Source organism: Homo sapiens, chromosome 7 (assembly GCF_000001405.40).
Source record: "Homo sapiens chromosome 7, GRCh38.p14 Primary Assembly".
Classification (NCBI taxonomy): Eukaryota; Metazoa; Chordata; class Mammalia; order Primates; family Hominidae; genus Homo; species Homo sapiens.
Genome location: NC_000007.14, coordinates 70,613,628 through 70,640,388, shown reverse-complemented (window position 1 = coordinate 70,640,388; position 26,761 = coordinate 70,613,628). Strand labels below are relative to the sequence as shown.

General features: G+C 46.5%; 1 protein-coding gene across 26 annotated transcripts in view, besides 4 other annotated features; it reads right to left on the bottom strand.

The window, feature by feature from the left end:
- The window catches only part of AUTS2 (activator of transcription and developmental regulator AUTS2), a 1,195,032-nt gene that overhangs the window by 153,118 nt on the left and 1,015,153 nt on the right, over nucleotides 1-26,761 (bottom strand). The window lies entirely within an intron of this gene.
- Nucleotides 1,044-2,252: an enhancer, noted in NCBI's record as "VISTA enhancer hs925". NCBI's record gives its function as "enhancer in: neural tube[8/15] | limb[8/15]" and the evidence as "EXISTENCE:transgenic organism evidence [ECO:0001131][PMID:17130149]".
- Nucleotides 8,040-8,817: an enhancer, noted in NCBI's record as "NANOG-H3K27ac-H3K4me1 hESC enhancer chr7:70096558-70097335 (GRCh37/hg19 assembly coordinates)". NCBI's record gives its function as "activates a minimal SCP1, AML or CMV promoter by ChIP-STARR-seq in naive H9 embryonic stem cells {active_cell/tissue: H9 hESC(naive)}" and the evidence as "EXISTENCE:reporter gene assay evidence [ECO:0000049][PMID:30033119]".
- Nucleotides 8,818-9,596: an enhancer, noted in NCBI's record as "H3K27ac-H3K4me1 hESC enhancer chr7:70095779-70096557 (GRCh37/hg19 assembly coordinates)". NCBI's record gives its function as "activates a minimal SCP1, AML or CMV promoter by ChIP-STARR-seq in naive H9 embryonic stem cells {active_cell/tissue: H9 hESC(naive)}" and the evidence as "EXISTENCE:reporter gene assay evidence [ECO:0000049][PMID:30033119]".
- Nucleotides 25,539-26,071: an enhancer, noted in NCBI's record as "NANOG-H3K4me1 hESC enhancer chr7:70079304-70079836 (GRCh37/hg19 assembly coordinates)". NCBI's record gives its function as "activates a minimal SCP1, AML or CMV promoter by ChIP-STARR-seq in primed H9 embryonic stem cells {active_cell/tissue: H9 hESC(primed)}" and the evidence as "EXISTENCE:reporter gene assay evidence [ECO:0000049][PMID:30033119]".

Below are 26,761 nucleotides of genomic sequence, written 5' to 3'. Positions count from 1 at the left end.
AACTTGTTCTAAATGAGTCAAGTGTTGGGGCTCTAACTTTTCCCCTTGAGAGATTTATAACTACTAAGAAAAATTTCCTGTTTCATCCTAACCTGTCTTCCTACCATCCGGGCCACCACCAACCATTTATTTTTCTTAGGAGCTCCAAGAGAAATGTTCTAAAGTATATTTTCGAAAGAGATGAATGTCATGAGACATGCACATCCGTGTACTGTATACATCACAGCCTCCCCGAGAAAGAGACCACAATGCTCCCCTAGCCCACCAAAATGCATCCCATAGGATTAAATCTGCTCTGAGTTAAGAGTATAAACATCCTTTTCTCTTTTCTGCCTGACAGCCTTAATCCCTAAAAAGGCTCAGCCATCATTACAGAAAATGACATACCGTAATGTTTTCAAATTTTCCTCTAAAACACAAGACTGCTAATCAGAAGAGCACAACAGAGACTCTGAAACCTCTGTCAACTGTGATTGCACAAGCAGTGCTGAACTCAGCCTTGTAGTCCTCTCAGAGAGGGAATGGAGGGGTTTCCTCTCTTCTGACTTCTGATAGGGAAACTGAGGCAAGTAAATGACAAGCAGTGCTGAACTCGGCCTTATAGTCCCCTCAGAAAGAAAATGGAGGGGTTTACTCCCTTCTGGTTTCCAATAGGGAAACTGAGGCAAGTAAATGTAAGGGCGTGCTTAAGGCAGCTAAGACTGATCTAGTGGCCTGTCTGCAAGGTCCCAGTGGGGATGACTGATTCCCTATTTTTTTTTTTTTTTTTTTTGAGACAGGGTCTCGCTCTATCACCCAGGCTGGAGTGCGGTGGTGTAATCATAGCTCACTGCAGCCTCAACCTCCCAGGTTAAGCAATCCTCCTGCCTCACCACCCCCCCAGTAGCTGAGACCACAGGCACGCACCACACACCTGCCTGGCTTATTTATTGGTGGGTAAAGATAGGGTGTTCCTATGTTGCCCAGGCTGGTCTCAAACTCCTGGGCCCAAGCTCCCTGTTTCCTTTGAGCTGGTCTTAGAGGAGAGGGGGAAAGGTTTCAATCTTCAACCTTCTTGGGGTCAGCTCATGTGCTTCAAACTCAAAAGCAATTACCTAGTCCCTTAGTGATGCTGGGAAAATAATATTTCATTTGGTTTTATCTGAGAACCAGATTTTTTATTTTCTTTCGTCTAGTGAGAAGGCTATAAAAGAAACCAGACTTTTGGTGTGGTGGTGGCGGCGGCAGCGGGGAGTGGTAGTTGGGGGAGATGCATAAAACATTATACTTTGACATATATTATGCGCTTAATCTTTTGCGGCAACTTTTTTACATTTGTAAGAGTTATGGATTTTAAAAGTCAGGGCTAAGATGGCTTAATGAGCATTCACCCCCCTGGAAGTAGAAGTAGGGCTGATGTGTGTTAGTCAGCTGTTAGCTTTATTACCTCTCTTCTGTACTAAAAGTGACAAGTTGAACACATTATAGAGAGCTCAGATGTGTTATGCAGATGAAGCCTGCAGCAATATCTGCCTGCTCTCTATTATTTATGATGTCTATATAATACAATGGACCGAGATTTAAGCCATTGTGATGCAGTTTGTTTTCCAGGGTGCTAAAGTACAGCACATTTTACAGAGAATTGCATCTCTGTTACATATTAATCAAATCCATCTTACATGCAGCTCTTACACTGTAAACTAAAGGGAAAAAAAGATTAAAGCGCTTGGCTTTTCCTCAGCTGTCAAGGACTGGCAATAAAATAATAATAAGGGCTTCTAAATAATGTGTGTGTGACAGGCCTGTGCTCGCTCGCACAGTCCTTTATGGAGGTTAACTACAAAATAAGTTCCAGTGAGTGATCGGGAACAGGCATGTGTGTAATACTGTAATGCCAACGACGGCATAATTCTTGAAAAGTTCATTTGCAGAAAATTCTCTGACTTGATGAGGCAAAGTTTGGCCCCCTGAATCATTCTGCCACGGTGTGCGGCATCTGCAGAGTTGCTCTCAAGTTTACAATCCTCGCACTTTTGAACTTGCTTCAGCTGCAGTCCATTAAAAACTGAAAGCGCCATTCCCTGGTACCCAAGCTGGGGTTTACTGTTCGGGAAGTCATGGGAAAGTGGTTTTATGGCGGGACTCGTCCAAAACCTGCAGGGTTCTGTGGTTTGGACAGGATTCGGGGGGATTATTACTATTCTTTTACATGAAGGTGATCAGCAGGTCTCACTGCTACTTTGGGTTTGGGGAGAAAGATGGGGAGTTTCGGTAATGAAAGTCTGGCTCTCTAGAAGTTCTCCCCAAACCCTTCATCCAGGGAAGCACTGCCAGGGCACTCAGGAGACTTCTGTGTCTTTATTTCCAACTCTATAGACTCTCAAAGAAGGAATACAGGTTACAAGATTCACAGCCACTTCCTGTCCCTTGGAATGGAAAATGCCTGCATGCCAACCTGAGCCCAACTCACTTTGCAGCTCGAGGTAATTTCTAAAGAAAGGAGGGGAGGGAAATTGCACTTGGAAGCACTCAGTCTGCCAGGGAGTTAACAAAGAGCCTGGATCTGTGCCTTTATAGTAATCAGTAGATACAACACAATGGTTTCAGAATCTGCCTATTTACCCAAAAGCTCAAAGTACAAAATTTACACTATTATCCCCTTGCCCACCATCTATAAAAACCAACCCCCAAAATACCCCTACTTAGGGAAATCGCTGAGCCTTCCTGGGGCTGCTTTTCTTGCTCTAATGTGGGAAGAACAACGCCTACCTCTTCCTACCTCCTGAGGCCTCACAAAAAGGGGTTCTCAAATTGTGGGTAACATTATATTCCTCCAGTTTCCTGGACTCTTCGACTTGCCCAAAATGAACACCTGTTATCTGATTTATTAAAATTGCAGTGAATGCTATTTTAAAACTTCTTAATTCACAAATCTAATAAGCACTTATTGACTGCCCATGGTTTGCTAAAGCTCTGTGTCCCTTACTTTGAATTTATGTAACTCTGGATTTGCAGCATCTGTTCTGAGATGGAAGGGTGGTGGTATATACGCAACGTACTATGGTTTCAACCCTATCTACATATTCCAAACATCCAGGAAGGTTTTAAAGAAACTCAGTGGCCGAGCCCCACATCAAACCAGTGGCCTCAATCTCAGTATTTTTGAAAGTGTCACAGATGATGGTTAAGCCAGGATGAGAACTTTTAAAAAGCATAATGGTTAAGAACATGGACTCCCAGTGAAACTCCAAGGCCAACATGGAATCAGGCTGAACCAGGCTAAATGTCCTGCTCTACCAAGTTTAAAGCCTGAGCCTCAGTTTTATCTTGTGTAAAATTGGGGATAAAAAGACAACCTACCTGACATAACACATAAGGATCACGTTTGCCTGGAAACTGGCAGGTGTTCGATAAACATAACAATGCCATCTTACATGCAAAATACTGGAAGTTAAAAAGCACTTTCTGGACAGGTGTGGTGGCTCACGCCTATAATCCCAGCACTTTGGAAGGCTAAGGTGGGAGGATCACTTGAGGCCACGAGTTCAAGACTAGCCTGGGCAACATAGCAAGACCCCCATCTCTTAAAAAAAAAATTACTTGGGCATGGTAGTGCATGCCTGTAGTCTCAGATCTTGGGGAGGCTGAGGTGGGAGGATCCCTTGAGCCCAGGAGTTTGAGGCTGCAGTAAGCTATGATCACACAACTGCACTCCAGCCTGGGAGACAGAGTGAGACTCTGTCTCAAAAAAAAAAAAAAATGTATTTTTGTAGGCCATCAATTTAACTTAATCCTCACAAAATCCACGGAGATGATGTATGATTATTCCCACTTTATAAATTAATAAACTGGCTCAAAAAAGTTCCGTGTTTTTTCTAAGGTCCCACAAAATGTATCCATAAGAGGGGGACTTGAACGCAGGTCTCCTGATACCTACGGTTTCCACCTTGCCATGGCTGCCATAAGCAACTACTCTGTCAGTGGAAGTGATCTGTCTTAATAGTGGTCAATATGAAGGTATTGCTTAGAGTAGTGGTTCTGAAAGCACACCAACATCACCTAGAGGACTGGCTGCAACACAGCTCTCTGGGCCCCACTCCCAGAGTTTCTGATTTAGTTCCCAGGTGGCGATGCTGCTGGTGAGGGACCACACCTGGAGAACATGCTGCCTTAGAGTTTGTGAAAGGAAGTGAAGCCACCATCTCACACCTTGCCCGGGCCACTCCTCGTGACACAGCTTCATCCATGCCTCTCTGCAATGGTGCTGCCTGATAGCCTAGGCAAGATGTCATTTGGTCTCTTAAGAATTTGAGTCTGAAGACCTGCCGGAGACATAAGAGGCCCACATCTACTTGGCCAAATCACTCCTTCTTCCAGAGAGCTGCCAAATCCTTGGCATGATCCCTACAGAGAGCAGCCCAGCCTGATTTTGCTCCAGAGGCAAACACACGAATGGAGGCAGCACAGCCAGTACCTCTCTGCCTCTTGGATGTCATTTCCAGACTAATTGGCTGAAAGTGCCTGGGTGCTCTGCACTTCCACTTCTATCCACCTGGCACATCATCAATTGTGTGTCAAAGTCTCTCCTAGGGTCCATCTTGGGGCCAGAGTTACCTAACAGCATGCACAGGTCCTGCAGTCCTTAGTCATGTTAAGCAGGGAAATGAAAACCTGCCAATATGGAAAGAACACAAATCACCCCTTCTAGAAGATTCAGCAGTGTTTTCCAGGAATAGTCCTCTGACAGTACCTGATAAACAATGCTCTTCTCACCTCTCTCCTTCCCACTGCCAGGCCACCTAGAGATGGGAACAACCCAGCTAAGAACTCCTAAAACTCGTTTCCTCTCCCTCTCTGTGTATGACTTGCCCAAATGGTGCTCAGGGAGAGCTTAGGAACCCAGGCCTTCGGGTCCTCAGATGAAGCCCTTCAAGGCCTGGGACGGGCTGTGGGGAGGGGCTGGCTGCTCACCATGGCCTCGAGGATTTGCAGGAGCTAACCTATCTCCACTAAAAGGCAGCACAATTTCCAAAGAGTAGCCTGATTGCTATAAAGCCCTCTCTGCCTTCACAATGTTCAGAAGGCCTCACTGGCAGCCAAGGGGGTAAGTCACAAAGTTGAGAGGACACACAGGAGAGGCACATCTGAATGTCATGTCCTTGAAAGGGCTTGTGCCTTTGTGGTTCAGACATGAAGAGGAGCTCAAACAAGATGCCCTGTCGAGCAATGCCTGGCTAGCCTGCAGCAGAAGCCAACCTCTAACGTGGCATGAAAGACCCCAAGGTACTATTAATTTTTTCGCAGAGTGGAATTCATAAGGCACTCGGTACTCTGGTTCTTGGAATCCCACTCTCAGAGGTGGATGACACAGCAGACGTCACTAAGTGGTGACTCCCTCTTTACAGATGGTGAAGGGGTATAAGGCTCTGTGACTCACTTCAAGGCTCCGGTTACTCAGCAGGAGACCAGCAACCAAGGACCATGTCTGCTAACCCCAGCCCCCAACACTAAGCTGCTCAGAGACCAAGAATGTCTAGAGAGCTAACAGTTTCCGCAATGTGCAGCTCACAATCTGCCTTTGCTCACTTTCATCTCATCTTCTTAACCTTTCTGGGAGGAAGTTGCACCTACTCCCATTTTACAGAGGAGGAACGCTGAGGCTAAGAAAAGCCAAGTGGTTGGCTGAGGTCACCCCGCTGAATCAGATGGGATGGAGGATGTGGGTCCATATGCACATGGTCTTATTCCTAGCCTCGTGCTTTCTCCTCATCGTGGTTATCGCCCTTGACACTGGGGCAGGAAAGATCTTGTGTGTGGAGAGAATGATGTACCGAATCACAAAGGTGACGGAGCCAGGCCAACAGCTCTGAATGCATGCACTCTAGAGGGCTGCCACAGGTCCAGCCCGTGCAGCTTAAATCCAAAGGGTGTCCTCAAGCATGCAAGGTCATTTCCAAGGCTAGGCCCGCCGAACAGCAAATGGGGGATGAAAGGTGGATCGCTGGAAAGTGGAATTCACAGGACACTCGACATTCTGGATAAAAGCCCCAGGCACACTATACCCAGGTTCTTTGTGCTGGCTTCTCCCTCTGCCTGGAGTGCTCTGCAGCGCACAGCCTCCTGTTCCCTTTAAGTCTTGGCTCACACGCCCCTTTCACAGGGAGATGCCTCCTGTCCTCCTATTTCAAATGGCGCCTTCCCACTCCAGCACTCCCAACCCCCTTCCAACAGATCCCATTTTACTCATTAATTCTCCTTGTCTCTTCTCACCACTAGAAGGTGAGCACCACAAGGGCAGGGACCTTTTGCTGGTTTTGTTCACTGATGTTTCTCGTACCTAGAATCAGCACTGATGATATGGATCTAGTACCTAGAATCAGCACTGATGATATGGATCTAGTACCTAGAATCAGCACTGATGATATACATCTAGTACCCAGAATCAATGCTGATGATATGGATCTAGTACCTAGAATAATCCTGACACAGCCATCACCCTTCACCAGCATCCGACAATGATGAACATTTCTCCACATTTATCTGTGAATGTGTGTTTCTTTGTGTATTTCTTTTTCCTAAACCATCTTAAAATTTAGGAAAGTGTATTATTTCCTAGAGTAAGAACATTACCACACCCAGAAATTTCAATTGAGGCATTATTTAATAGACGGTTCACATTCAAATTTCCCCAGCTGTCCCCTCAAATATCCTATATACAAGCTTTTAAAAAATCTAGACCTACGGCCCAATCAAGGATCAGGCATTCCATGTGTTCTGTCCTTTTTTTTTTTTTTTTTTTGAGACGGAGTCTTGCTCTGTGGCCCAGGCTAGAGTGCAGTGGTGGGATCTCAGCTCACTGCAACCTCCGCCTCCAGGGTTCAAGTGATTCTCCTGCCTCAGCCTCCCGAGCAGCTGGGATTACAGATGACCACCACCACACCCGGATAATTTTTGTATTTTTAGTAGAGACAGGTTTCACCATGTTGGCCAGGCTGGTCTCGAACTCCTGACTTCACCACCTACCTCGGCTTCCCAAAGTGCTGGGCTTACAGGCGTGAGCCACTGCACCTGGCCCATGTTCTGTGTCTTTAGCTACCTGGAGAGAAGCTTAGTAAGTACTTGGTGAGCAAATGGATGGGTGAGTGAGCTGTGCTGTGGAGAATCCTCCAGCAGTCTCTTCCCAGAGCCAGAGTGAAGAGGTGGGGGGACCCTCGCTCTGATTTTGCTCTATGTCTCTCCCTTCTGCTTTAGGTTCTCCCAACACATTCATATAGGGTGTGTTTCACCAAGCGACCCTGAAAAGGCCCCCGGACAGTCACTGTCTTGCCCTCTACCCCATGGGGCATGGATGCTGCTCTCAGAGCCCTCGCCCCATGCGAATTTCCATTATCCTCCAGACCAACTTTTTTTTTTCCCCCCAAGGTAGAGGGCTTTGCCTACTGCTCCTGGCTCACATCTTTTTGTACAAATATGGAGGAACCAATGTGTGGCCTGGCTGGTGGGAACCTTAAAGGTCCAGCCTGTGAACTGCCTGCAGGAGGGGTGTTTCGAGCCACCAGTGGGGGTCTGTGTCCTCTGCAGCCCACAGAAGTCTGTTTGCTCGGGAAAAGCCAACCGTGGCTATTATGACTCCATTAATGGCATGAGCTGTGGGATGCTCCAAAAAAGGAAAACCATGCTCAGGGAGAGGGCAGGAGGAAGAACCCAAGAGAGACATAAAAAGGCAATAAGATTCAGAGAGCACTCTTAGGAGAGAGGAGGGTGATGGATGGAAGGGAGGGGAGTGTCAGGCAGGGAAGACGTGGGAGCCAGAGAGTGGCAGCAGGGAGTTAGAACCTCAGATTCACAGAAACCTGCGTGGCTCAACGGGGGGCATCTGTGCCTGCAGACAGCAGTCCTAGGACAAGCAGAGAAGAGAGCAGAGAAGGGGCTGAAGAGGTCAGAGAGCAAAGTGAAGAAGCCACAGGGTCCACCCTCCATTGGAGCCCACGAAGAATGAGCAAAGGCCAAGGGGCTTAATGAGAAACCAGCAGGGCTTCCCTCACTTCTCCTTTGTGAAATCTCAGCCCACGGTTCTGGACCTAGAGGAAACCGAATCCCCCGGCTGCCTTTCGCTGGGGCCTCCTTCCTACCTTCTGTTCCTCTATTAGCACTCTGCACTAATTACTGCTGTACCTCCGTCCTAACAATGGATGCTCTTGATGCCTTTCAAGTATGAGTCTACATCTGGAATCACCCCTGTCCAGGATCTCTGGAGCCTGGAGTTGCTACAACCTCCACGGTGGGTACTGACCATCTAATTTCCTAGTCTCCTAGGGGCTCTAAATCCAGCCCCCTCTGACCTGCCAGCAGGAGAGATGACTTCACATTTGTCCTGCTTATCACTTGTAATAACCATTAGGGACAATGGCAGGCGCTCACACCTGCTGCCCACCAGGACGGCAGATCGGGTCTCCACAGGAGGCCAGAGATGCAAATCTCCTTGTCCTTTTCACCACAGGCAGTCTCCCCTCTGGTCACACCACTGAATCAAGGGACATGGGAGAACTAAGCCAAAGCGGCAGAGTGCGCCCTGCCCCCTAGCAAGTTAGCACACACGGGCGCGGGGCTGGAGATGCTGTCAAGCAGCAGTATTGATTCAAGGATATTTTGCTGCTGAGCCCCTTGCTGTGGCCCAGCCAACCGTGCAAAGGCTAAGGTTGGGGACATGGGGCTATAAATGGTGCTGACTGTATTCTCTGCACACCCATTTCTTCGTGAGGAATGACTTTCTGCAGCTGGGCCATTTTCATAGCTGCCCTTGTCGCTAAAATGGTGCTGAGAACATCTGGGACAGAACCTGTGGCCTCGGGGCCACCACTGGGACAGCGCTCTCCAGCCCACATTCTAGGTTGCGACCACCCCGTCCCCCACGGTTCAGAAATCATGGAGAGTCTCGGAACTCCCTAACCTGAACGGCCCATTGGACGCTTCCTCTGAAACGAGCCTCTTCCCGCACAGAGCAGCATGCCCGACACGCACACAGCAGTGCAGACACGCATGTGCACATGCTTCCCCGCCGCCAGTCGCCAGCCCCTGCCCTGGTGTTCTCTTCAAGGCGAGCCAGCAGCCCGGCCAGCCCGCAGCAAGCCGGGCCCCAGCCCTGCTGTAAAGTATTAACTCACACTGAACACAGTTTGTCTCTGAGGACCCTCTTGGCCCCTTCGTCATCCTGTGCTGACATTTTAATCGTGCTTTTGTGGGAGCTGGCTGGCAGTTTGTCATCAGGAATGGCGCGGCGAGGGGCCAGAGCGGGTTGCTGGCTGTGGCTGCTGCTGAGGGAAGCAGCCCATTCTGACAGACTGAGCAATAATCTGAACTTACTGCGCCGAGCCTGTGGGACACCAGCCGGGCCGCTTTATCTTCTTCATTAAAGTACGCTCAAAAAAAAAATCCATTTTCCTTTAAAGTCTCAGGAACAGATGGAGTAAAATTAATTGCGCCATTAAGTCCCGATAGACAATACCAGAGTGGTTTTCTTTCAACTGTGCATGTGTGTTACAAAGTGCTCTTCGTAAAAGGCAATTACTGCAACATTTGCCATAAAATAAAGGTTGCTTTAATGGGCAATAAACACAGGCTTCAAATTTTGTATGAAATGGGTCTCTAAAGGGCGCTGTTAGAGGCAGCTCAAAGGCACGACTGACTTTAGTATTTCTGCTCGGGCTTCAGCTCAGCTAGTTCCGAGAACAATGATTCCCCACCCTTGGATATATTCTGATAGAATTATGTATGTGATGTTCACTCACTGCATGGGCCTCTCCAGCCAGATTTTTCTGGTCAGCAAACAGCAGGCAGGAGAGGAAGAGCAGGAAAGAGAGAGAAAGAAAACCAGGGGCAGTGGCAAGTTCACTAAGGGTGTCCTGGGCTGTACCCACTGCCTGAGAAGAAACCAGTTAAAGTGACAGGCCCCGTTCACGGGAGCCGAGAACACAATTTACTTGTCCTCTGTCTTAGAGGTCTGGTGAAGCTTTCTGGTTGATTCCTGGCAGCAGGGCTCAGTCAGAAATCTATAGTTATGTACATTTGGAGCAGAGATTTGGCAAAGAGGGAAAATAGGCTGTGCTTTACAACCGAGATGAAAATGATGATGAAGGCCTGTCAGCATATTGATGACCGGGCCCTCCAGCCAGAGCCCAGCTTTCCGCTCCTCTGAGGACAGCTGTGTAACGCTGCCTAGGTGAACCCAGAAAGCACACTGCAATATAGAGCTCTCCTGGCACACGCAGAGGAGGCCGCCTTTCCGAGCCCCCTACCCCTTTCCTCTGCAAACCCCATGTGTAAATCTTGCCCTTTTGCGATCCAAGCTGCTCAGACATGCCTGGATGGGGGCAGGAATGGAAAGATGAACAGAAATTCATTTCAATCCACTCTATTCCTACATTTCAGTAATTACAAAGTTAGCATGACATATAAATGATCCATTAATTGAAATATGGACTACACGACTCCAATATTTATGGTATAAATCCATATTTCATTAAACAAATCCAATAGGCAAATATATCAAGGAGAATATGAGAGCATTTTTATTTAAGTATGAGATCAGGAGCTAAAAGACCATCTTCTGTCCAAAATATAGACCTAAAGCTTTTAAAAAAGAAAAAAAAAAAGAACCTTAGGTAAATTTAGAATTAGGTGGGGCTGGTGAGACAGCGAGGCTGATGATGATGAAAATTAACTTTAAGTAAATCCAGGGTCAGCTTATATGGTCAGCTCAGAGAATCAGGGGCTCCGTCAGTCACCAGCTGCCATGATCTGAGACGCGCCTGCCTCTATTCAGGCTGCTAAGGGAGGTGGCAAGGGGATGGATTCAGGCCCTACCATGTATGTTGGCTGCTATGACCACAGAAGGGCTGGCTTTTAGCTGTGGGCTTTTTTTTTTTCTTCCCTTTTTTTGAGATGGAGTCTCGCTTTGTCGCCCAGGCTGGAGTGCAGTGGCACGATCTCAGCTCACGGCAGCCTTGGCCTCCCCGGTTCAGCAGATTCTCATGCCTTAGCCTCCTGAGTAGCTGAGATTACAGATGCCTGCCACCACGCCTGGCTAATTTTTTGTATTTTTAGTAGAGACGAGGTTTCACCCTGTTGGCCAAGCTGGTCTCAAACTCTTGAGCTCAGGTGATCCTCCCACCTTGGTTTCCCAAAATGCTAGGCTTACAGGCGTGAGCCACCATGCCTGGCCTAGCTGTGTTTTAAATAGAAGGGTTGGTTTGCACTGAGCCATCCATGCTGCTACCTGACCTCTTCTTGCATTAGGTGGTTTCCATCTCCAAGTGGCATCTGCAGACGGTTGGCATCTGTGGCAGTACAGCAAACCCGACTGCCCCGCGATGGATATGAACCTGCCACCAGAACCTCAGTACTTACTAAACTCGTCCTCTCTTGGCTCTTCCACAGGCACTTCCCGACATCCTTACATTCAGCTGGAATCCCCACTTCCCCCCAATGTCTGCCACCCCCTCCCTGTTCCATCAGGCCAAGGGAAGACACCGCCATCTATCTACCCAGCTGCCCGGTTCAGAAATGGCGCCCAGAGGTCTCCTGCCCGTTTACCCGTGCTTTCCCATCCTGAGGATCCCAACTGCTTGTCTTCAGTTTCTTTAATGCTGTCTTAATTCTGGCCCTGATCATCTCCTTTGAATGTAACAGCATCCTAACTGGTCTCCCTGCTCCAGTCTCAACCTCCTGTAACTGCATCTTAAGATTACCAACCAAGTGGGCTAAAATCAAAGTCTTCATACACTGCTTTTTGCCAAGGAAAGTTCTGATTACTGGATTTTTTGGGGGGGAGGGGGAGGGATGTAGGTATACTATTAATAGCATGGTCTTTTACTCTCAAAGTATCTCAGTTTCAATGATAAATTATAATCCTAGCTAAAACTCACATCTCTTCCCTTCTTCATTAACTCCTATTACCTTCAGGAAAAAGTAAAGGTCCTTAAGCTTCAGATCCAGGTTTTTGTAGAGCCTGAAGCTTATATAATTTATATATACATATACATATATATATATATACATATATATATATACTATATATATATGTATATATATATATAGTTTTGCAAATTAAAAAAGGAACAAAGCCCAACATGTGGCCCCTCCCCAGGGGCCCTGCAGCTTAAGCTTCAAGAGCTTCATGGTAAATCTGTCCCACCATGGCAAATAAACATGTTTTTTTGATCTGGCCTCTGCTTACCTCTTTGGGCTGTCTCTCAACATTGCCCGCATGGCTTCCAAGGCATTGCTTTGCCACACTTGTGCCCTGTGCTTCAACCACAATTTCTATTTATAGAAATTTCTACTTATAGATCAATGAGCCACCTTCGTGCACACCTCCATACCTGTGCCCATGCTCTTCCATCAGCCAGGTGAAAGACGGGGAAAGAGTATCCCGGCAAGCTTCCATGCAACTTTCAGGGCTTGGTTTTAATATCACCTTCAGAAAGTCTCTTTTGATGACTCTACACAGGGGCCTGTTTCCTTTCTTTGAAGCTCCCATGACATCCTGACCACGTTTATCCCAACCTTGACTGCACAGCACAGAAATTAACTGTCTTTTCCTCCACCGTGTACATAACAGATGCTAAATGCACATCTAGTAAATGAATAAGCCATTCTGAGAACAAAGCATCCCTTTTTCCATTGCATGTGGGATCCCTGCTAAGGCTGGACACTTGGCTCGGAATTGGATGGAGAATGACAGGAACTGGCGCCAGCCCTACACTGTAAAATTCCAACTCTGCTCCATCTGAACGAGGGCAGTTACCAAACTAGAGCAAATTGTGATTGAGTGTTGGCAGAGATGGAATAATGAGCTGGTGCTGATTAATACCCGAAGACTGGGTTAGTAGTTCTCAACTATGTTTGCACATTAAAAACATCTGAGCTCCACAGCAAAAGAAGCTATCAACAGAGAAAAGAGGCAATCCACAGAATGGGAGAAAACATTTGCAAATTATGCATCTGATAAAGGTCTAATATCCAGAATCTATAAGGAACTCAAACAACTGAACAAGCACAAAACAAATAACCCCATTAAAAATGGGTAAAACACACAGACACTTTTCAAAAGAAGACATACAACACATGAAAAAATGCTCAACATCACTAGTCAACAGAGAAATTCAAATCAAAATCACAATACGCTATCATCTCACACCAGTCAGAATGGCTATTATTAAAAGTAAAAACAACAGATGCTGGCAAGGCTGTAGAGAAAAGGGAATGCTTATACACTGCTGGTGGGAAGGTAAATTAGTTCAGTGCCTATGGAAAGCAGTTTGCAGGTTTTTCAAAGAACTTAAAACAGAATTACCATTTGACCCAGAAATCCCATTACTGGGTATATATCCAAAAGAAAATAAATGGTCTACCATAAAGGACACCTGCACTCAGCTGTTCATCACAGCACTATTCACAAGAGTGAAGACACAGAATCAACCTAGGTGCCCATCAACGGTGGACTGGATAAAGACAGTGTAATACATATACACGATGGAATACTATGCAGCCAGAAAAAGCAACAAAATCACGTCCTTTGCAGCAACACGAGTGCAGCTGGAGGCCATTATCTTAAGTGAATTAACGCAGGAAGAGAAAACCAAATACTGAATGCTGTCATTTGTAAGTGGGGGCTAACCACTGGGTAGACATGGACATAAAAATGGCAACAATAGACATTGGGGTCTATGAGAGGCGAGAGGGAAGGATGAGGGGAAGGGTTGAAAAACTATTGGGTACTGCGCTCAGTACCTGGCTGATGAGATCATTCATACTCCAAACCTCAGCATCACAAAATATACCCATGTAACAAACCTGCACATGTAGCCCCTAAATCTAAAATAAAAGTGGAAATTTTTTAAAAAGTGAGTTATTTAAAAAATATATTTCATTGTCTGGTACCTAGCCCTAGAGATTATTATTTTTTTCCTGTGGTAGGATCCAGTCCTACCAGTACTTAAAAGAAAAAAAAAAGTTTTTACATAATTTTTTTTTTTTTTTTTTTTTTTTTTAGAAACAAGGTCTTGCTATGTTGCCCAGGCTGGATGCAAACTTTTAGGCTCAAGCAATCCTCCCACCTTGGCCTCCCGAGTTGCTGGGATCACAGGTGTGAGCCACCATACCTGGACATCTATCAGTTCTTTAAAAAAGATCTTCAGAGCAGGCATGGTGGCTCACGCCTGTAATCCCAGCACTTTGGGAGGCCGAGGCAGGTGGATCACCTGATGTCAGGAGTTCGAGACCAGCCTGACCAATATGGTGAAACCCCATCTCTACTAAAAATACAAAAATTAGCTGGGTGTGGTAGTGTGTGCCTATAGTCCCAGCTACTCAGGAGGCTGAGACAAGAGAATCGCTTGAACCTGGGAGGTGAAGGTTGCAGTGAGCTGAGATTGCATCACTGCACTCCAGCCTAGGTGACAGAGCAAGATTCCATCTCAAAAATAAATAAATAAAACAAGACTAAATATTAAAAAATAAAAAAAGGTCTTCAGATGATTCGAAAGCTGAAAAATGATGATTTAGCCAATTTTATATTAGTTTAAAACCACCAATTAAAACACTTTTGCTCACAATTGGATATGGTTACAGTTACTCACCTATCTATAGCCACGAATGTACGTGGTCTATCACATATCATGTCATTTACTCCTGATGAACCAGAGTCTACTGTTACATGTTTGTATAGAGGGGCATGACGGCCTGGCACTTTCTCACCTCCTCATAGGTGCAATCAACAATGCTTGGCAGGTGTTTGGTACAAGCGGTTACCAGAAATACGAAGAAGTAAGACTTAGCCTTTATCCTCAAGGAGCTTATCACATTTTAGGTGAAATCACAACAAAAGTTGACAGTAAAAGAATATTCACATGCCTGTAGCTATCAAGTGCCATCTGACTACTGGTGAGGAGTGCTTTGTGTAATGATGTCCCCCATGGCAGAGCTGTGACTGTCAAGTATTGTGTGAATCCCAAAGGTTGAACACGTGGAGGAAACAGCAACTTCAACGGCTGTAAGTCGGGAAATAACTCTAAAGTCAAATTGGATACACACTCATTCATTCATTCCTGCTATTTACTGCTAAGAATATGCATCAAGCACTTGGCTACATACCACACATAATGGGGGGTTCTAGAGATATGGGGGTGCAGAGAACAGAGATGACCCCCTAGTTGGATAAAATGTACTACAAGAGAATCTCTAATTCATTATGCATCAATGTTCTTAATTGCTACTGTGGTGAGTGCTGTAAAGGGAAAGTCCAGAGTCCTAGAACGTGAAAGATGATTATAAGCCAAGGACCACAGAGATCTCCCAAGAACATAGGAGGCAATGGACTCAACCTCAGTGATGAGCCAGGCTGCTGGCTGTGGAGTGGAACAGCCCGAGGAGGAAACTGGTGAGCTGGGGAGAGCTCAGGATTCGCCTCCCTGCTGGACAAAATTCTCTCTCACTGGCAGAGAAAAAAACCTATGGGGACTTACACAGTGCCATGTGCAGATGGGGTTTAATGAATGTGGTGATGATAATGATGATAATTATTCAAATTCTTTCCTATCTCTACACCCCAGGGAAGCCAGTGCTGCCTTTGTCATCTGACTAAATCTGAGAGGTGACCCTCTTTCCTAAGTTTATTCTGTAATGCCTTCCCACGCGGGGCACAGTGTTTCTCTACCTTACATCACTCTAAGCAGCATATGTTTAGCAGTGTGCTAGATACTCAGGAGGGTATGAAAGAAAAATGAGACTGCCAGGAGGTCCCTGGGCCCTCCTGTCATTTATGCCAGGGCCTGGGGTTGGGGCTTGCATAGAGACTACCTCAAAACAGAAAATATCAAATGTGGGGACCTGAAAATAAAATTTGTATTCATTTGTTTATACTTCGCCTCTTTCAGAAAACAATTTAAGGAGAATTAAATTAAAAGATATACACAATAAGGTTATTAAAACTAAAACAGAAAATCAAACACCTGGTTAAGGGAGAGAAAGCCAATTTCTAACCACCATGGCTAATCAAGTCAATATAAATGAGTGCTGAGTTGAACTCTGGAGTTCTGGGCAGATGGGGCAAAATGTAAAACAGTGGGTCACATCATTTGCATTCTCCATTGGAAGGAGGTCCCACGGTTCTTCCAGAGAGACCAGCACATCCTGAGTATTATGCAGTGCTTTACCTGAATGGTCTACATCTTTAGTAATGAATGACTTTCACAGCACATGCAAGTTTATCTTCATATTGATTTTTTAAAATTATCAATAAGCCCAAGGTATAAACATTAAAGTATGATCTATCAAAGATAATTCTAGTGAGGAAGATACGCTAATGCTATTCAGGTAGGTACTTCCCTGGTAGTCTAACCTGATGGAAGGAGACAGCGACGATTACCAGAGAGAGGGAGTATCTCCCTTGGCAGATCTTGAGGGAACATCACTTTTCCTTGCCATTTCAGGGAAGAGCTGGAGAACGGCAGTTCATCAGAAACAGCAGAGAACACTTTGAATTGTGGCCCATTTCTGACAGTGCGTAAAGGTTGGTATCCATATTTTGGAGGGCCAGAATGGCCCTCATTGTGATGAGATATAAAACAGAGAAGCCTGGCCAGCATTCTTGGCAGAGTGAAGGCTGCCTCTTCTCCACATGGTGACCTTCTCTGGTCTCTGGTGTATTTTCAAGAAAGCCAACATTTCCCATAAGGAATGGCTTTAGATCCAGTGATCCCCTGAACACGTGACATGTTGAGACTCTAGAGCACCACTGTCCAGAACTTTCTATGATGATTAACATGTTCTGTATCGTCTGATACAATAACCACTGTGACAAGAGTGACCACTGTACTCTTGAAACTGGCTAGTGTGTCACTGAGGAACTGATGTTTAAATTTTATTTGATGGTAACTAAATTAAGCTGAAATAGCCACAGGTGGCTAGTGGCTACTGTATTGGACACAGCAACCCTAAAAATCTGCCTCTGGGAATTGAACAGAACGACAGTTGGTTTGCAAAGTTTCATAAAAGACATTACTCATAACCTACCCTAGCTGTAGATAAACCTTCAGCGATGCTCTTGAAGGCCTCTCAGGAGAGGTGAGAATCCAGGAAACTCCTGTCAGGCACTTGAATAAACTGGTCTGCTAAATGAAACTATTTAGTATTGACCAAGTACATTTTGTAGAATGCCTGCCAAACGCAACAGTTGTGGCTTTGACATATCTGGGGTTGGGCCATGCTGGTATTGGATAACTGTGAGGACCAAATGCTTCCCGAAGCCATTCCTAATTCCTATATAATCCATGGTCATAAAACACCATCAAGCACACAAGCGGCCACTCTCTTGCTAATTGCTATGGCAGGAGGGCACACGGAGAGTTCATTGAAATGTGGTAATTAACTCCCACTTGTAATGGTCTAGAATCAAACACATCTCTGTTTTCAGCACCTGTGATTAAGATCTGAAATGTCTGGGTATCATTTTGGCCAACCCCCAACTCTTGCAGTGGTAATAAAACACAGTCTTCACAAGAGTATCAGCGGCCAATGGTTTTGGCTAAGTTTGGCCCTTTCTTTTGGTCCACAAAGAAAAAGGCCGATGAAAGACGTGTAAAGGCTGCCAACAGTTCTGGATCCATTTTTCCCTAAGTTGAAAGAGCACACCCATTACATATAATGTTTAGCAATATGAGTTAAGTTTTGTCATAATTCATTAAAGCTGATTTCAGGGGAAAAATACAAGCCTTTTTTAAGTCTTATATTTAATAACAAATATAACTTCGGATTGCTAAAGAACATTCTTGGCAAGAGGAAATGAAGGAGTTATGGAATAGAAGCCCAGTGATCCAACTGGAGGAAGTTTTGATTCTAAGAAAGTCTGGGGGTTAGCGGGAGTGCAGGACAACCAAGGGCCTGGGTAGCAACGGTGGGGATGACGGGAGCTATGGAACCTGGCTGAACACCGTGTTCTGCTCAGCAAGAATGTGCTGCTTAAAGAACATCCAGAGCACTGACCAAAACAGATGCCAGGTCTAGACGGCAGGATGAGGTGAAAGTCCAGGAACAGAGGACAACGGCAGGCCCCTCAGGCAGGAGAGAATATAAGTCAAAGATGCATTTTTAAGAGAACTTGGAGAAAGGGGGTTTTGTAAGAGACGACAGAGAAATGAAGTTGCCAGGACATCTCCGCTCCAAGAATAGCCAGAGGAACTTGGTCTGAACATGCCCTTAAGAATGACTATGCTAGCCAGGCGCAATGGCTCACACCTGTAATCCCAGCACTTTGGGAGGACGAGGCGGGCAGATCACCTGAAGTCAGGAGTTTGAGAGCACCGTGCCCAACAGGGTCTCTACTAAAAAATACACCAATTAGCCGGGTGTCGTGACGCACACCTGTAGTCCCAGTTACTCGCGAGGCTGAGGCAGGAGAACTGCTTAAACCCAGGAGGTGGAAGTTGCAGTGAGCTGAGATTGCACCACTGCACTCCAGCTTGGGCGACAGAGACTCCATTTCTCCAAAAAAAAAAAAAAAAAAAAAAAAAAAGAGAATGACTATGCACTAACGTAAGCCTGCCTAGCTGTAGCGTCCCAGAACAGCTAGCAAAGTTCAGCACTGGTCCACTGTGTTTGCTATAGTTTGTACTAGGCCTTTTTCCTTAATCTTTGCTTTTGCTCTGATCTAATTCAGACATGATCATCAGTTTAAAAATAAGTGGAGCTGAATTTTTGTAGGTTTCTGTTTCTCAATCTAATATCCTGCATGAGGAGTGGTTCCTTACCTCCTACCCTCCCACCCCTCAAAGATCTGACCTAAGGTGGGACATGAAATCAGAAAAACTAAAATGTCTGTGACTTTTGAGGATGGAAAAGATTGTACTGGGGATTAATCCAGAGAAACCTACACATGAGGCGAAAGTTGCTGGAAATAATTTGGAAAGAACTGGGCTTAGTACTCAGGAGAGGATTTAAAAATGGTTCAGGTGGCAAGAGATCTCCTGCATGTTGTAATCATTTTGCAGCGACCAAATGACTAGGACATGGGAGAAAAAAAGGGGAGAACCCCCCACCCTGCCCCCACAGTGAATACAGTTTGAGTCTGTAATCCTGGACCTGAAAGGCCAGGAGAAGGAGCTACCCAGGCAGCACAGAAGCCTGGAATGTGTGCCCCCACTCCCGGCAGAAGCCACACTGTGGGGCAGAAACACTCAACCCTTCCACGTGCTATTCATGAGCATCAGGGAAGGGGAAGAAAGAAGAGATGTATGTGGACTGGAGCTTTTCCCTTGTTTTTCCAAATTAAATAAGCTGCTGCTCTTCCTTCATTCTCCTGGCTCTTTCCCTACCCCACCGCCGCCATACCGCGGCCCCTCATGGTCCTCCCCGCTCTGAGCTCAGGCCCTGGAGGAACTGGAAGTGCTCCTGTCGCTGCTCAGCTGCTGAACTGGTCTTCTGACCATGCCTCTTTCCTGCAACAACTCTTTGGCAACCCTCCTCCAAAACGTCCCAGTTTCCCTCCCTGCCCCTTGATCTGGTGCCAGAGGGGACGGTAACAAAACACAAAACAAAAACACAACAAAGAGGCCATGGAGCCAGTGCCAGCAAGCAATGAGAGGGAGAAATGGAGCCCAGTGGAGTTCTTCTCCCTAAAGGAAAATTAAAAGACAGATGATCAGCTAGCTCCCAGAAGTTCTGCCTCGGGCCTAAATGAAATAAATGAAAAGGGTGAGAAATCCTAATGAAATCACCAATCCAAACAACACAACGACCTGAGGGCGCTAAGGGTCAAGGTTCAGGACAATTCAAGGAGAAGCAGTCAGGCCTGTGGTTTTACAACCCAAGCCCTGGGCTTGGCCACCAGCACAGGAGAGCAAAGGGCCCGACCAACCCCTTTCCTTCCACATCTCAGTGATGAGCGTGGTGTGACTGAGCGCCTACTGCACACCGATGCCCATAAGATGTGGTCTTCAGCATAGGACTCCTTGAACAGGTAAACCAGGGTACGGCTACACGCTCCGCTGGAGAATTTCTCACTTTACGAAAGGAGCTGTGTGCTCAGGTTCCTACACCAGTAAGTACAGGGAATATGATTGTGTTTTCAGCTTCATTTCGACTGACTCTAAACAATGTAAATCTATGAGCTACAAAATTCCACCTGTCAAAAATTGCATTTACATGCAGTTTTTCAGGAAGGTGTCTGTTCTATAAATTGAGGTGTACCAGTGCTATGTGCTAAGGAGTAAAGAAGAGCAAGAAAAGAAAGCGGGTCCTGACTTCTGCCCGCAGCACTCCCAGGTTAAGGGAGAGGTGCAGGTAAGGCCATGGGCTCGGTGGGAATCTGCACCCCTACAGAGCGGTACAGGGAGGGTGGCAGGGTGCTAAGCGCTTCTCGGCAACAGGACTGTGCACAAGGCCTCTGCCTCTTGTCTTAGCTGCTGTCCAGCCTTCCAGCTCTGTGGCTGGGACTCAAGTACCTGAACAGTGAATGGGTGTGGGGGTGAGCCATGGGCGGAGGCAGGCGCTGGGAGATTGTGTCATTAGCAACTGAGTCAGGAACAGAGGGCCAGGGAGACAGTGATAGCATGGGGGTGCATCTGAAATGCTGACAGAGGCAAATTCCCTCTTCTCTTCTACTTAAAAGGGGTCGGATCCTTCCTCCAAACAGGCAATTCTCCCTTACCTACTTGCTAGCTGCCACAGCTCAAATGCTAATTATTACATAAGGGTCAAATGGCAGCCCGACAACACCTCTTGAAAAACAAAATGCCAGGGTTATAAAATATACAATATATTTTCTCCCCTTTGGCTGTTTTTTTTTTTTAATACCTTGACCAGCACTTCTAATTATTTGAGAGAGGAGAGGGAAGAAAGGAAATCAAAAGATCTGCTTCAGAACGCAGCTCTCTCTTCCTCTCCTGGGGTGAGCTTGTCTCCTGTGAGATAACAAGCATGAAGAGCATGGCAGGCCGCACGCACTCCCCAGACAATGGCCAGGCACAAAAAGGAAGCGGCTGCACGCAGGAGGCAGGCAACCTGCTGGCAGCAAAGGGTTAAAGTCCACAGCATCCTCCCGCGCCCCGTCTGCCTTTCCGTGAAGGATACAAAGCTCAGTGGGGCAGGGAGGAAACTCCCACCGGGCCCCTATTAAAACAGATCAAGTCACACATGTCGATAGCCCCATTTCATAGATGCTCTAATTTGTTTGACAGGAGTGAATCCTGCTGATCCAAGTCCGGCAAGGGGATGGGGAGGGGGGGAAGGTCTGCTGGAAAGGGAGACCCAGGGAGAGCCTGGTGGCTTTCTGTATCTGGCCTTTATAAAAAATTCAGCCATGCTTTGAAAACAGGGTGTGTCCCAAGTAGAATATCATCCTTAGGCACATACGTATGGTGTGTATGTACATACACAGTGTATTGTTCTGATCTAACTGTGAGATGTTAAAAAAGGTACAATAAAGCTTTTCCCTCTCCCAGTGGAGAAGAGGATCAAACCCTGCTCTCCCTCCAGTAATCCTGATAAATGCAGTGCCAATGTTCTAACAAAACACAGGGCTGCTGTTCGAGAGCTTTTCTTTCCCTCTTGTTCTTCTTTTGTGTTTCTCTTTTTTTTCTCTTGCTCTCTCTCTCCCTGTGTTTCCTTCTCTCTCTCTCTTTCTCTCTCTCTGTCTGTCCCCTGCCAAAGGCATTAAAAAGAGATGGGAACCACTCCACCAAGCATGTGTGTGTGGGGTGAGGGGGTCCTAACCCACGGCACTGCTTTGCTGGGGAAACAGCTTTTGAACAAGACCCCTGGCACAAATGAGATGAGGTTAGTGATCGCAGTTTAATTCTCAATAGGGCACAGCATGCTCTGTGGATATGAAATATACAATATGGGGGGAAATGGAGTCCTTTCTAGAATTAGTTTTTCCTCTTGGTTAATGAGGGTCAGAGGAGAATGAAGGCATAAACTGCGAGCTAAGTAAAACCCAACAGGCCGAGCCCTCCAGGGAGAGACTGCTGGAGAGGGGCCAGGGCTGCCTTGGCTTTCCCACAGGGTGACCAGATCACAGGAGGTTAGAGAGGATGTCAGGAGCTGAGAGGGTCCGGCCTCCTCGTCTCATACAGGCAAAGTGACTGCCCAAAGAGGTAGCAAAAGCCCACGGCAACCACTTGGCCTCTCTACAGGTCTCACGGGACCAGCGCAGCAGTCACCAGACGTGTTAATGCCTTGTTCTCTCAACCAATAAGAACGTAACTGTTAATTGGTAAGTGTGCACACTGGTAGATGTCAAAAGCCTGGTCTAAGAGGGAGAAAAAGATACAGACTCATTTTTCTCAGAGTTTCCTTCGAAGGTTCCTCATAAAACTTAGGTGGAGTCATATCTGCTTAGGTTTCTTTCCTCCTTCTCCAAGTTAAGTTGTTAAAGGGAATACATTTTCTGGAGATGTGAAGCAGAAAGACAATCAGAAATACTGGGCAAAAGTAGCGATCTTGAGGAAAATTCTTTCTGTTGTGTGTAAATGGTTAAATTTCTGAGTAGAGGCGGTGTGCAGAGAGAAGGAGGCAAAGAAATGGACATAAATTTCAGCGAAAGTAGATTTCACAAAACCATGATGTCCCCAAACTTAACAAAGTTCTAGTAGCTTACAAGTGAATCATTTAACTTTTCCAACTCTCCCCTTCCTCCTCTCCCTCGGTCACTTTCTTAGGAATCCCTCACAAACTTCTTTTTTTTTTCTCTGAGACAGTGTCTCGCTCTGTCGCCCAGGTTGGTGTGCAGTGGTGTGATCTCAGCTCACTGCAAGCTCTGCCTCCCTGGTTCATGCCATTCTCCTGCCTCAGCCTCCTGAGTAGCTGGGACTACAGGCGCCCGCCACCACGCCCAGCTAATTTTTTTGTATTTTTGGTAGAAACGGGGTTTCACCATGTTAGCCAGGATGGTCTTGATCTCCTGACCTCATGATCCGCCCACCTCGGCCTCCCAAAGTGCTGGGATTACAGGCATGAGCCACTGAGCCCGGCCACAAACTTCTTATATTCATCATAGGAGAAATAAGCTCGCTGGAGGTCAGATCCCACTAACCGTTGGACTCCACTGTCATACCTGAAGGAGGGACTAGTGGTCATTTAGTCTTGACCATTTCCTCAATCAGCAGAGCAGGCAGCATGCGAAGTAAGTGTCTGCAAGGATAGCACGGACTTTTACTTGAATGCAAATGTGATGCTAGAAGGTGCATCTCATGAGGGAAAGGCCAAGAAAGTCTTGAAGACAATGGCCCTTACCCCACTGAGCCACTGAAGCAACACAGTGGTCACCCAGCTGTAGCTGTCTTACCATCACATGAAAAAAATAAATCCTTAATTGTTTCAGGCACTGCTAGTCAAGCTATTACTTGCAGCTGAAAGCACTCCTAAGTGATACATAGCCCATGACTACCGGATCCTTTTTTTCTCTCTTCACCTCTGGTCTCTAAGGAGGAAGTGCCCTGTTTCTGCTAATGAAAATTCTTCTCTGCTCTTAATCTTGTCACTTCAGATCTCCTCTGGGACCGTGTTCCATCAATAGTGCCATCATTCCCTCTCTAATAATTCCTACTGCTTGGCCTAAAAACATGCTCAAGTTTCTCCAATCAAAAAAAAAAAAAAAAAACTATTCGACACTCTATTTTGAGAAGAATTTCTTTGGGTTTGGGAAGCACATTGGCTTACTTTAAAGATACGTTGATTTTTAACCCTGACCACTCGTTCATTCCCTTTTTCATTTGCCAAGTATGTATTGACCACATATGGTGTGCAGAGCACAGTGTCAGGCACTGGGGACTCAACAGTATGTAAAAACTAAGACCTTGCCCTTGTGGAGCTTGGAGCATCAGATAATCCCACTATAAATGCAAAATGGCAACTGCAGTACACAGCAGGGCACATGGTGTCACCGGGCAGCTGCATCAGCCCCGTCAGCTGTTAAAGCCGAATGGTACCTCAGCACTCAGCCAGGGAGAAGAGCGTGGGGTCTTTAGGCTGGCACTTGGGCTTAGATCCTGGAGCCTCCACGTGGTAGCTATTAGCTGCTGAGAGGCTCTGAGCCAGGGGCTTCACCTGCCACATGGGGCTGGTGAGCATGCTTCCCAACTGCACTGTCAGAAGGAGATAAGACCCCTGTGTAAGAGTTTTAGCATAAGGCCTAGCACTGGCTTCATGTTAGCAATGATTCTTCCTCTTGTTCCCTCCACTTCTCAGTGAACTCACTAACAGAATAGGGAAAATCTGAAGAAGATGTACAGAAGCTAATTCATTTGCACCTTTTTTGTTGTCTTTTTGGAGAAATCCCTCCTTTATCTCTGCTAAAAGAAAAGTTTCTGGGCTGCATGTGGTGGCTCACGCCTGTAATCCCAGCAATTTGGGAGGCCAGGGTGGGCAGATCACTTGAGGTCTGGAGTTCGAGACCAGCCTGGGCAACATGGCAAAACCCTACCTCTCTGAAAAATATAAAAATGAGCTCGGCAAGGTGGCCAGCACCTGTAATCTCAGCTACTCGGGAGGCTGAGGTGGAGAATCGCTTGATTCTGGGAGGTGAAGGTTGCAGTGAGCCAAGATCGCACCATAGCACTCTATCCTGGGCAACAGAGCAAGACAAAAAAAAAATTTGAACAGAACACACTGCCGTTTTGCACTGTCCCCAAACTCTTATTAGGACACCTGTATACCTGGTGAAAGCAGCACAGTTGACCTCTACCTACGCCAACTAAGGGCCACATACATGTTGGTGTGTGATGGCTCCTAAAGAGAATAAATGCTTTTCCAACAACAACAACAACAACAACAACAACAACAACAACAAGCCATAAATCTTCTAGAGGTTTTTTTTTTCTAAGCCTGAAAGTCAACTGAGAAAAATCTAGACTTTTCCTGCACCTTGTGAGCAGAGCAGTGACTAAAGACATTGCTTCCCCAGAGGGGCCTCTCAAGCCTCTGCTCCCTTTATGCAAGATTCTGGTACATGGGAGGGAAGTCTTAGTTCGACAGAAGTTGTATCTGGCAATGGGTGTGCTGGAAGGTCCACCTGAGCAAGGATCCAAAGACCAGCCGCTTCTTTTTTCCCTGCAGGTATTTCTAACAAGTACACACACATCCAGGACTACTGGTGTTTCCTGCTCCACCCTCATCCCTGCCACCCACTCTTCCACCCCATCACCCAAGGCAGATGTGCCATCTCCTTTCCAACTACAGAAGACGGAACTCATGATAAATCTTCCTGATGTCACCGACCTAGAGCCTGGGAAAGGAAAAAGACGACAGGGGAAATGGTCCTGTATTAACCTCAATGTAGCCAGCCAATTGTTCTTCATCCAGCGTTCGTAATTTTTATTTCTAGAGAGCTACCCTGGGAAGGCCTAAGCAGATGAGCCACACCGTCCAAGCTGTGAGTTCAGCCAGTGTCCAGTCTGGAAGGCAGAGAACAATGCGTGTGTGATCCTGAGCTGGGCTGCCTGGGGTGCTGGTGCAGGTTAGCCCTGCAGCCGGCCAGCCTCTGGGCCCCTGCCAGGCTGCCGACCAGCCAGGGGAAGTGAATGTGCTCAGCGTGAGAGTGCCAGCTGGCTAGGCTTTCTCCCCAGGGGGGAGGCTGTAAGCACAGATTACCAGTGACTTTGTTCAGTTCTGCTGCCGTGCTCCCCGAGGAGAGGAACATCACAGCCCAGCATCAGTACTAATAGGCCCTGATGCGCCAGACCCAGGCTAAGAAGGCCAGCGTGGGGGTGGGGGTGCAGCAGAGAGGAGGACAAAAGCCACGCCTCTGAAGCTGTCAACTGGCTCTGAGGCTGACAAGGAAGCACTCTCTGCAGCAAGTTCCAATCCCTGCCGCAGGAAGGAATAATTTCACCACTTTCTCACTATTTACTGTCCACAGCAAAAAGAAACCCCCACACCTCCACTTAGCACCATCGTGAGCATCCCTAGAGTCCAATAAATTACAGAAGAGAAACTAAAACTTTCCTTTGCTTCATTTCAAGGGCCTGTGACTGTGAAGTCACATGAGCTGCCACATCCAAGGCGTTGTCATGGAGACAGTGGTGGTTGCATAAATGATGTTGGTCCCCACTTTCATAAAAAAAAAAGTAATTTAAATTTTTATGTATAAGACCAGTTCATTAGACTGAGAAATTAAATTGATAATTTCTTATTTTTTTCCTTTCCCAGAGGAATTTCTGAGGAGAGCTGTAGACTAGCTTGTATGAAAGTTTGGTGGGATTTGGGCAGTAAGACATCAACTGGCCAGTGAGGATGTGCAGGATTAGCCAGCCAGTCTCATCTCTGACTTCAAACTGGTTTCTTCCAAGAAACAAAGATGGCTCCCTCCCTGGCTTCACAGCCCTGGCTCCCTGTTTAGCCGCCACCCACTAACTACCCTAGCCTTCATTTGGGGCATGCTGTAATTCATTTGGAGCTTGGGATTTTTGTCACTTTTAGGTACTACTGGGACACTAAACTAAAAATCAGTGCGTAAGTGGATGTGAATGCATGTTGATGAAAAGGTAGGCAGGTGCACACTGAAGCCCAATTTGACCACAAGAGTGATTAACTAGTCATGTCGCCCTGTCTGGAAGACTCCAAGGAGCCAGGGATCATGTTCTGATTAATTTCTCTTCTCGCATCTATGGATCTTGCTTTGTTCCATTCCCCTCCTATTTAGGGGCCTCCTCTCACCAACCCCTCTCTCTGAGTGACATCCAGGCATCTATATCATCTGGGCTCAGCAAAAAGCCTCCTCCCTGCTCTC